Genomic DNA, 11,968 nt, shown 5'->3' with positions numbered 1-11,968 from the left:
TGGGTTTTGCATTTTAACATAAAATATGGTGCTGCTGTATTTCTTTCCAGGTTTCCTCCCAAAGTGAATCCTAGTTGCCTGTTAGTGATTCTTTTAGTTGAAAAAGGATTATAGTCAAATTATATTGTCCTGTAAGGAGTATGGAGTTAACCAGAAGTGCTTTTCATGCGTCCTGATTTTTATCTGGAATATTGCAAGAGGGATATACACAAAGATGTGCAGGTAGGAAAGGGTAACTGTCACCGTGAATTTAAACGTTGATGGTAAACGCACTTATAAAACTAGGTAGCATGAGGAAATGATGCAAGATGGCAGTATAGCCCAGGTTTACAGGGTTTCCTCACCCCTTAATTATACCTCCGCAGAAAGTCTATCGTTCCTTTGAAAGTCTGCCATTTGACAAAATATGTGTTTGTGGTGTGATTAGAGTGTTCCACATTGGTTGGAAGGCTTCCAGATTTAGAGCACTGGATTTAGAATGAGACCTGGGTTTTTATTCTAATTCTGCCATTTACTGGCTGGGTAACCTTGATAATCTCCAAGCCTCAATCTCCTCATGTGCAAAATGAGGAAAATAAAATGGTTATATGGTTGTTATGAGAATTAAACAAAGGCAGTGCATGGGAAGCATCTAATTAATAGATGCTGTTATTACTCAAAGAAAACTAACTCAGGTAATTTATAAAGATGAGCAAGTACCTGTCCAGTAGATCTTAAACGATCAGAAGAACAATAAATAGAATTTCTTGCTTAATATCAATTCAGTGTATGACTATCATTCCTCCTATATATTTAAAATATTCAGTTAAAATGTTAAAAATGAAAGTCTTTGGCAGAATTTCTCAGACTGCAGTTAAAAAACCAAGCACAATATAACATTCTCCTAGTTGTAAAAATCAACACATATAAAAATGACTGGAATATGAAGGCAAATCTCATTCATTCGTTTATAGGAATAAAAGGAAATTAGCAGTGTGGAATGTTTGAAAAAGGGTGTCTTGGTCTACCACTGATGTTCTTGAAATTAGTCTTTGTGTTAAATAATCCTGGAGTCCCGGGATACATTGGTAAACATTCCCATAAATGCACATCAGTGTAGTACATTTATGTCTGTACCTTCAGGTCAAAGTATATTTGTGCTTTTTCAAATAATTATATAATAAAAATAATCTTTTAAGGGTTGTGTGATATATACTTAGCCTTGAGGTTTTTTTGTTGTTGTAGTTTTAAATTTTCACCTCAACTGATCACGTTACACTTCTGGAAAAGGGTCACACTATAGTGAGATATCTGAATTATAGTGAATGAGAGCAATGTGCAACTAGCCATTAAAATTAACTTCAGAATTAGGTTTAGCATGTCATTTTTCAGGAATTAATCGGCTCTGACTACATTCCACTTACTATTTGCCTGCTCTTTCAACAGCCTGACCACAGCCTGACTGAGCAGGATGACAGGACTCCTGGCAGACTTCAAGCTGTCTGGCCACCCCCAAAGACAAAAGACACAGAAGAAAAAGTGGGACTGAAGTACACTGAAGCAGGTAATGTGAAAGGAAGCTAGGGACCCGGGAATGAATCTCTTCCTGCAATGGCTTTTAGTTCTAGCTTAGTTGACTCTCAGAATTTGGGGTTTTATTTCATTATAAAATGTAATGCTGAAGGGTTTCTTTTTGGTTTTGCTGTTAAAGTGAACCTTTGCACACTTATTGTTAACGAGCCTCTGAAAGATGAAAGATGAATGCAGTGGAATGAATGAAAGGGGGAATGTGTGTGAAGTAGGAGAACCTTGGGGGACCTGATGGAGAAGGTAGATTGCAAATCCCTCAGGAAGCCGGTGGTTGGTCCTCATACAATTTTGTGAGCTGGCAGTGTTGCTAGAAGAGGCAGAGTATGGTTCTCTAGAGCTGTAATCTGATTTGTTGTTTGTCTTCGAGTAATGCTTTTGAGATAAAGGAACCTTGTGCAGAGTGAATGTACAGATACCGTATCAGTTACTCGTTCACTTTTGTGAGACAAAGCTTTATTTAATGCATGGCCAACTTTAAAGCAACCTAACTCTCTGGAAACCTGCCTAGGAACTTTACTTGAATTTATTTAAATGAAATGGGAATCTAGATATGGTTACTATTTAAGTGGAAGTTTCACGTGAACTGTAAAATGACACCAAAGCATTAGAGGATGGGTATGTAAGATATTAAGAATTGCATGTGTGTGTATATATCCATGAAACCTCTCTGCCTTCTTCCTGATATTTGGAGATTACCTATACGTGGCTTATATTTGTTGTTTTTATTAGGTGTATGTGTGCATTGAGGTCTATCTATCTATCTGGTTATAGAAAAATAACTTCTTTCCATTCCTGTTCATTGATAGACATGAACAGATCAAAGTTGGGTGGTTCAGTAGGTTTTTCCATAATATCAAATTACTCCAGTGATTGAGAACACACTGGCAGTTGAATCTTGAGATGATTTCTAGCTTTCATTTACACAGTTTCTGCAGGGCATTGGTTACTTCATAGCATTTTCTTTCTGTGGTGTTTGACTTACAGGATGAAAACTCATATCCTTAATGAAAATATGTATAGCAATTTAAGTCTTCTTTCCCACATTTGATTTTCCAAAAATCATAATTGTGTAAGAATGAACAGCATAAGGGTGGAAAATGATTGTTTCATCTGAGCAGAGCAATTCAGACACAGCAGTAAAGAAAGCATAAGGATGTTCTAGGTAATTGAAGCATAGAAGTAGCATAGGGCTAAACTTCTGTTTAACCCAAACTTGAATGGAAAATTTCCTAAACCACATTAGATCACTTTTTTCCTTTTGCTTTGTTTAGTCCAAACGCACTTAACTTTATTTTCTCTAGGGTAATTACATATATGACTGTATCAATGAGGGTCGTACTAATCAGGAATCAGGTGGCACTCAAATGGAGTGATTTGAGGAGAGTTTATTAGAGACCTTTCACAGAGGTACAGACGGGGTTTAGAAAAAGCAGTAAGAGAGCGCTACTCTGGGGCCAGTACCAAGGAGAAGCTTTTACCACACCCAAGCCTGAAGGGGCAAGAGTAGAAGTCGCTATCGAAAACTAGAACTTAAGAGGGAGGCTGAGTGGTGTGGAGGCAGCTGCTGGGCAGGACCCGCAGCCCTCAGCAGGGAGGTGCCGCCGGTCCATAGTGACATGCCAGGCTGGGAACTGAGGGCACACAACCTGATCTCTTCTCATCCCACTCTCTGGTCCCTCATCGTCATTCCCATTGGCCAAACCCAAAGAGAAGTCAGCAGACTGGGAGCCACTTGAGGCTATCATTTCAGGCCTGTCACCGGGGCCCAGAAAGGGCACAGACCTGGAGAAGCACGTAGAAGATCCCCTGCACAGTTATGGTACCACCATGGGCGCCCAGCAGGCCCTGGGCAGAGAGACTTCTAAAGCCCTCCTGGAGAAGAATCTGCACAGACATGCTGGTGTTGTCATACCACACGACACGGGAGTTTAGTACAAGGGCACAAAGACAAGCTTCTGTTATTATCATCCTGTGGGAGGGTTATATTTTCTAGTATAATCAGTTCATAGAAAATATACAGCTATTATTCGAGGCTTGCTCTGTAGAAAACTACTTCATTTTAATGTGAGGGATTTGTTTACTGATCTCAGAAAATCTCTCATAAGGTTTTAAATGTTCCCCAAATAAAGTAAAATTTGAAGATATCCAGAAAAATCATGAAGCAAAAGAAACTTTCTATGATTCTATTTCAGAGAAACTGTTGTCACTTTTGAAACTAGGCCTATGAATTTAATGTGGAAAAATAAAAATAGAATTTGAATCATTATAGACTACTGTTCTTTTCCGATTATTATTATTACTATTTTTTTGAGATGGAGTCTCACTCTGTCGCCCAGGCTGGAGTGCAGTGGCACCATCTTGGCTCACTGCAAGCTCCACCTCCCAGGTTCACGCCATTCTCCTGCCTCAGCCTCCCGAGTAGCTGGGACTACAGGCGCCCGCCACCATGCCCGACTATTTTTTTTGCATTTTTAGTAGAGACGGGGTTTCACCGTGTTGGCCAGGATGGTCTCGATCTCTTGACCTCGTGATCCCCCCGCCTCGACCTCCCAAAGTGCTGGGATTACAGGTGTGAGCCACCGTGCCTGGCCTACTGTTATTTAAACTCTTTAAATGAGTTTTACTAATTATAAAAATTTGAGTTATACATGATGTATTATAAATAACTACTGTAAGTCTTTGTCTATAAGTATTTTATCTTAGGATAAATGCTTATAGGTAGAATTGCTATACATAAGAGTATATGCCTTTTTAAGGTTTCTGATGTATATTACCATATTGCCATAGTTGTTTTTTCTTACTAAATACCTATCCCTAAAAATTACCATTTTTGAAACTGTTATTTTACTTTTTATCATTTGTTTTTAATTTTACTGTGTTGTCTGATGTGTGGAAGTTTTAAATATTTACATAATCAAATCTGTCCTTTCATTATATAATTTCTGATAATTCTTTTAGCTTAAAAGACTTTCTCTGATCTAAGTTTACCAATGTTTTCACGTTTCTTAAAGGGTTTCTTTCTACTTTTTTTCTCTCTTTCTGTCACTCCATTTCATATGAAAAATTTAATTTGGTATACAGTCAGAGGTAGAGATCGAAGACAACTTTTTTTTCTAAATTGCTAATTAATTCCATACCAGACTTTTGGAATAATTATTTCCTCTATATTGTTTAGGACTGTTGGGGGCCTTCTATTGTCTTTGATATGTTTGTATATTATACTATATCTTATTGTAGCATTACAATACATCTCAGAATCTGGCGGTTCCATTTCTTTTGCATACTTTTAAAAATGTTTTTGGATTTCCTTATATATTCATTCTTCTAGAAAAACTTAAAATTTTTATTGGAATTGTATTAGTTTATAAATCAATGTGAGGTAGGAATGATAATGTTTAGTAACTTCACGAGGAGCGTGTCTTATAAAACTATTCAAAGTTTCTTGACATTCAGCAAATTAAATGTATGGTATTTATTTACATATAAATATATATTTGTATATATGTATATATCTTGTATTTTTTCCTAAATATCTTCCCTGGCATATGTTTTAAAAGATAAATACATGATATGGATTTGCTTCTTGTGATTTATTTTTCTTAGAAATCTAATGTGCTCCTAAGCCTCTAGTGACTCGAGCATGCTAGCTTTATTGCAGGTGATTTTCTCCCCAGGGACAGGGCTTGACTGGGTGAAGGACACATTTGGACTGACCTGTGGTACCTTCCCTCAGTTTTACTGTGGTTAGTGATTCTTCATATTTTTAGATTCCTTTAAAATCTAGCAATGATAGAAAGCACAGAAGAAAACATGACACCGAATTTAACATGTATTTTAGGTCCTCTACCCCACCCCACAGCCATCTGTGGGCACTTGGAAGTTCAGAGGGAGAACCTGTTCCGAACACTCAACCGAAAGCTGGGCTTCGTTTCGCCTCCATCTCCTATGTTGTATTATGAAGGGCTACCTGAAATTTCTCATTATTAAGACATTTAAAAAATACATTGTCATGATGTACATCTCAAAATCCTCAGGGGAAGTGAGGTTAATGTTTTCGGAATTAAAATGATAACATTTAGGGAACTGTCAGTGACTGAATTACTCACAGAATGAGAAAGAAAAAAGTTTGAAGAAAAACACTCGTGCTTTCTGAGTTGAATTGTGCATATGTGGTTTCTCTCTCAATGTGCATCTGGAAAAGCTTTTCTCTCTACCTGAAGCATCTCAGAGCTGGCCTGGGGCTGGGGAATGGCAGATGTACTGCCCTGCTGAGTGTGAGGACCATAGCTTTTGTAGAGAAGAGAACTTAGCATAATACATTGTAGTTATTGAAAGTAAGCAAATTGTCAAGACATGTGGCCTCTCCAGCAGACACATCTTTCCTCAGAACCTAGGAGCAATTTAGAAACATCCCTATTTAGAGTATTTTAAATTAAATAGAGAAATAAACCATTCCTCAATTTAATAAAGATCCACCTATTTTCTGGTTTGTTTCTCATTTTAATTTACGTCATTATAAAATGAGAGCTATTTGCCACCCTTCCTGATAAGTCAGGTATCCTTGCTTTATCAGTCAAAGAGAGTTATAAACACCTTGTACTACTTTATTGGCCTACTATAATTTGAGTTTTAATTTCTGCATTCATAGCTAACAGGCTGCGTTAGTCAGCAATGGATTTTCCTTTAAAGTTATGTGTCCAGACAAATTATCTTAATTTTCTCTTTCACCGTCTGGGGAATGGGTTTGTGCATTGTACTATCTTTCATAGACCCCTGTAGCCTGCTATCATCACTTGCATGGAGTTGATTGGATTGTGATAGCCTAGAAATTGGAAGCTGTACAGACTAAAGACCAGAAAAGTCTTGCAGTTTGTGGGTGCAGAAAAAGGTTTACTGGGAAACTAGAGGTGAAGTGTATTGTGCTAAGCTTCCACTTAGTATATGTACACAGCTGGGAGCTCTAGAGGAGACTGACTCTCCCAACATAAATGGGAACTAAAGCTTGGCTTTTAGGAGAGGAATCAAAAGTGCGGACTGGAGACTCAAGAATCACATATTGTGTTCAAGGAGATACTAGTAAAGATCTTTGGCTCAGGAGAGTAGAAGCAAGAGATTAAAATATAGAGTCTCAGTTTTTAGAATATAAAAACTGAGAGCTGCAAACATCTTAGGTCATTTAGTTTAACTTACTCATTTTACAGATGACAGTAGTGAGATTATGAATTGCTGAAAGATACACATAACTTATTAATACTCTGTTGATAAATTATGTGTAATAATTATGAGTTGGAATTATAATTTGGAGATAAAGATAGTCTAAAATTGAAGAGTGATGGATTAAAATTTTTTTAAATCTTTTTGCCAATGTACCAGTATCTAAAGATCCAACAAGGAAAATACATGGGATCAGAAGCATTTTTTGTGGGAACGTAAATTAGTACGGCCATTATGGAAAATTATATGGAAGTTCCTGAAAAAACTAAAAATAGAACTACAAAATGACCGAGTAATCACACTTCTGGGCATATATCCAAAGGAACTGAAACCAATATGTAAAAGATAGAACTGCACTCCCATGTTCATTGTAGAACTATTCACAATAGCCAAGACATTAAATCAGTGTAAGTATTCATCAGTGGGTGAATGGATAAATAAACTATGTTATATATATACAATGGAATACCAATCAGCCTTAAAAGGGTGGGGGGAATTCTCTCAGTTGTGCCAATGTGGATGTATCAGGAGGACCTTATGCTATGTGAAATAAGCCAGGCACAAGAAAGACAAATGTTGCATGCTCTTACTTATATGTGGAATCTAATAAAGTTGAACTCATGGAAGTAGAGAATAAAATGATGGTTATCAGAGGCTGGGGATGTGAGACGGAGGGAATGGAGAGTTGTTGATCAAAGGGCACAACATTTTAGATAAACAGGAGAAATAGATTTTGTGATCTGTTGCACAGCAGTGTGATTATAGTAAAAAATAATGTATTCTGTATTTCAAAATAAGAATAAATTTCAAATGTCTCACCATAACAAATGATACGCAAGAAAGGTGATGCATGTGTTAATTAGCTTAATTTAATCATACCACATGGTATGCCTGTATCAAAACACCGCATCATCTACCCCGTAAAGGTATACAACTATGATTTGTCAATAAAAAATTATGCAGGTTATTACAAATTACGGGATCTGAAGTGAGTGGACCTGAACAATAAAGTAGAGCATATGAGGCCATCCTGGCTCACTGGACTCATCTGCAAAAACTCACTTGGTTGTTTCACGCTGTTCTTTTGATTCCTCAAATAGGAATCAAAGAAGGGAGTGAATGGTATTTTTTACGCTATGAAGCATAAGCAATTTCAAGCAAATAAAAATGCTTCTAGGCTGTGGATTCTTGGAAAGTTAAGGTGAGGTTCATTCAACTACCGTTCATTGAGCCACAGTTTGTGTAGTAAAATGCATGGTGTACATGTAAATGGTTTTGGGAGGTACATGAGCAAACATTTTTATTTTAACAGTTGTTATTTCAGTGGTTTTACTGGGTTTTAGAGAAAATAAAACCAGTGCATTCAGTCTACTTTGAGTCCTCTTTTGGGAAGATTAGAATGAGGTCGATACTCCATATTCCACACCACATTTTTACAAACATTTTTCAGTCGTCGTCTTTCTCATAATTTCTATCCAGGTGGCTTCATTTTTCTTCTGTTCTGCAAATCTCCATCTATTGCCAGCCACCAAGTGTTCTTTCTCCAGATCATCCACCAAGCGACCTCTCCACCATCCTGGCTTCAGCCTCCTCCACCAGCAGCCCCGCCGCACCTTTCCACCAGCACCCCCATCACACCTTTCCACCACCAGCCCCACCACACCTTTCCACCACCAGCCCGCCACGCCTTTCCACTACCAGCCCCGCCACGCCTTTCCACCACCAGCCCCATCATACTTTTCACTTGCAGTTTAGTTCCTTCCGCTCAGTCTGCTTTCATGTGCTTATAGCCATCAACTAGCTCAGCAAATAGAGCACACTCTTTCAGATCCCCTCTCCATAGAAACCAGATGGGAAATTGTAAATAACAATTTTTTCTTCTTTTGTAGAACAAATTATTTCTGAGAAATAACTAAACCCAAAGTTGCAATAGGTAAACTCGGAAGCACTTTTCCCCCCAAGATAAAGGGAAGCACTTGATGAAGGGGTGAGAACATGAGATGAGAAAGGTAGAAAATGATTTCAGAGGGAAAGGAAAGTAGGACCGGGAAAGTCCTGAAGAAATAATTAAGTTTGACATTACTTTTACTGCAGGGGTTCATGGGTTTGAGCATCAACTAAACTTGAGTTCGAAGCTTGGCTCTGTCATGTGCCAGCTGTGACATGTGGCAAGATAATTTACTTGTTTGGATTTTCATCCTTGTCTCTAAAAAGGAGGGTAATGATAATTTTAAACAATTATTGTAGAGATAAGACAATATATATGAAGTTCAACTGCAGCACCACTGACTTTCTTTTTTTAAACCAGTTTTTATAGAAGAATAACAAAAATAGAGAAAAGTACACAAGAGTATATAGCTCTGAGTTATAGCAAAGTGAACACACCCAGGTAACCACTATGTAGATCAATAAATAGTACATCTTTAGCACAACAGAAGGTTCCTTCTTGCCCCCTTCCAATTGCTACAATTTCCCTTTCCGTCAAAGAAAACCACTATCCTAACTTCTAATACTATAGGTTAGTTTTATCTGCTTTTCTTAAGATGGAGTCTCGCTCTGTCACCCAGGCTGGAGTACAGTGGTGCCATCTCAGCTCACTGCAACCACTGCTTCTGTGTTCAACCCATTCTTCTGCCTCAGCCTCCCGAGTAGCTGAGATTACAAGTGTGTGCCACCGTGCCTGGCTAATTTATTTGTATTTCTAGTAGAGATGGGGTTTTGCCATGTTGGCCAGGCTGGTCTTGAATTCCTGACCTCCAGTGATCGCCTGCCTCAGCCTCCCAAAGCGCTGGGATTACAGGTGTGAGCCACTGTGCCCGGCCTAGTTTCATCTGCTTTTGAACTTAATATAAATTAACTCATTTTGTGTCTGGCTTCTTTCTGTTAACGTTATGCTTGTGAGAATCATATATGTTGCTACATGTACCTGTAGTTCATTTATTTTCATTCCCCTATAGTATTCCATTGTATGAATATATTGCAACATATTTATCCAGTTCTAATGCTGGTGGACACTGATGTTGTTCAAAGTTTGTGGCTGTTACAGTGCTAAATCAAGTTAAGCCTAAGGCTGCCTCTTTATGTATTTTAAGTTCAACCTTAAGGTTTCTATGTACATAGTGAACTGTAACCCAAATGGAGGTGTAAACAGACTGTAGCCTACTCTTGTGGCAGTCACTGAGTTTTGGCCAATCAAAGGGGGCCTACTGTTCAAACTGTGTTTAAAATAAGGGAAACACTGAGCTGTAACCAATCTGGCTGTTTCTGTACCTCACTTTGGTTTTCTGTATGTCATTTTCCTTTTTCTGACTATAAATCTTCTGTGCCACATGGCTGCACTGGGGTCTCTCAGCCTGCTTTGGCCCAGGAGACTGCCTGATTCTCGAATTGTCCTTTGCTCAATTAAACTTTGTTAAACTTAATTTGGCTAAGGTTTTTCTTTTAATGGCAAACATTACTCTGAACACCCTTGGACATGCCTTTTGGTAAATACAGGGAGACATTTCTTTTGGGTGTATACCTGGAAATAGAATTGCTGGTAATAGGGCATATCTGGATTCTATGTCAGCAGATGATGCTAAACAGTGTTTCAAAGGGATTTTTATCAGTTTATACATCCACCAGCAGCATATGACAGTGCTGGTTACTCCGCATTCTTGTCATTTGGTGTGTTTGGTTTTTCTAATTTGAGCTCATTCTGGTTTTAATTGGTGTTTCCTTGATCACCAGCCAGGCTGAGCACTTTTTCATGGCCATTGCATATCCTCGTGGGTGCCTGTCTGAGTCACTTAATTTTAATGAATTGTCTCTCTTTCTCATATTAATTTGTAGAGAAGTTATTTTTATATGCTGGATTTGAGCTCTTTGGTTAAGTGTGTTGCAAGTGTTTTTTCTCTCTCTTAATAGTGGTTTTTGATTAGGATAAATTCTCAGTTTTACTCTAATGAATCTGGTTTTATTGGTTAGGGCATTTTGAGCCTTCTTATTTTTCTAAGCCAATCATGAAAATACATATATTTTAATTATCTTTAAAAATTATTAGTGCTCTTCATTTGTCATTTAGACCTGCAATATTCTGGGCGTTGATTTTTTTGTTTGTTTTTTTTTGTCTATGAGTTGAAGTACAGTCAAATTTGTTTTTCTGTCCAAATTACCCAGAATTGTTTATTGAAAAGCCTACCTTCACCTTCTGGGCTGTATTCTGTTCCACTGTTCTGTAGCTTTGTCTAGCCTTGTACCAGTTTCACACTGTCTTAATGACTGTGTAAACACAAAACCTGACAACATGTACCCACGGTGATCAGGGTACAGCTTGCTTTTATACATTTGAGGGAGATGTAATACATTAATCGATAGATGTAAGGTTTTCATTGGTTCAATCTGGAAGGGTAGGACAACTCGAAGGGGTGGGGGGACTTCCAGGTCATAGGTAGGTTTAAACATATTTTGATTGGCAATTGGTTGAAAGAGTTACTATTATCAGTAGAGAGGAGTGTCTGGGTTAAGATAAGGGGTTGTGGAGACCAAGGTTTTATCATGCAGTTGAAGCCTCCAGATAGCAGGCTTCAGAGAGAATAGATTATAGATGTTTATCAGACTTAAGGTCTATATTGATATTAATGCTGCAGGGGTATAATGAGGCATTGTCCAATCCCCACTTCCCATCATGGCCTGAACTAGTTGTTCAGGTTAAATTTTTGAGTGCTGTGGCTGAGGAGAGAGTCCATTCAGATGGTTGCAGGGGTTGGAGGGCTTCAAATTTTATTTTTGGTTTACAACTATAACTCTGTAATCAGTTATGATACCCTGCTAGAATGTGTCCTTGTTCCTTGGTTACTCTCAGCTCTTTGTATTTCCATGTAAGATACAAGTAGCTAGAACTGATCTATGAATAATTAGGCAATATAGAGTTTTAAATAACTGAGACATAAAAGCTTTCACCAAAAACTGTTGGAAAGAATTTCAGCCTGCATTTTCCGGAAGCTGTGATTGGCTTTATGTCTGCCTCATGGTGGGATCCCTCATTTCTTCAACTCCTTTTTGATGTTTGCAAAGTGTTTAGTTTTCTTTCTCTCTACCTAATCTATTGCGACCATTTCATGTAGAAGAGGAGGGAAAGGGTAATTGGGTTTGATAAACAGATTGCTCTTGCTTCTCAGTATGAAATAGTATAGATGGATGCAAC

At 38.0% G+C, this 11,968-nt stretch overlaps 1 protein-coding gene across 15 annotated transcripts in view; it reads left to right on the top strand.

Annotated features, from left to right (window-relative positions):
- FMN1 (formin 1) overlaps positions 1-11,968 on the top strand; it is a 429,171-nt gene that overhangs the window by 128,215 nt on the left and 288,988 nt on the right. For 13 of the 15 annotated variants that reach the window (XM_011521509.4, NM_001277313.2, XM_011521504.4 and 10 more), the window contains one exon: positions 1,426-1,543. The exons of the other annotated variants lie outside the window; for them this stretch is intronic. In XM_011521509.4, coding sequence (XP_011519811.1) covers positions 1,426-1,543 — 118 coding nt within the window. The remainder of the gene's footprint in view (positions 1-1,425; positions 1,544-11,968) is intronic. 15 annotated transcript variants of the gene reach the window in all.

Source organism: Homo sapiens, chromosome 15, assembly GCF_000001405.40.
Source record: "Homo sapiens chromosome 15, GRCh38.p14 Primary Assembly".
NCBI lineage: Eukaryota > Metazoa > Chordata > Mammalia > Primates > Hominidae > Homo > Homo sapiens.
The sequence above is the reverse complement of the archived record's forward strand: the minus strand, read 5'-3'. Positions and strand labels throughout refer to the sequence as shown.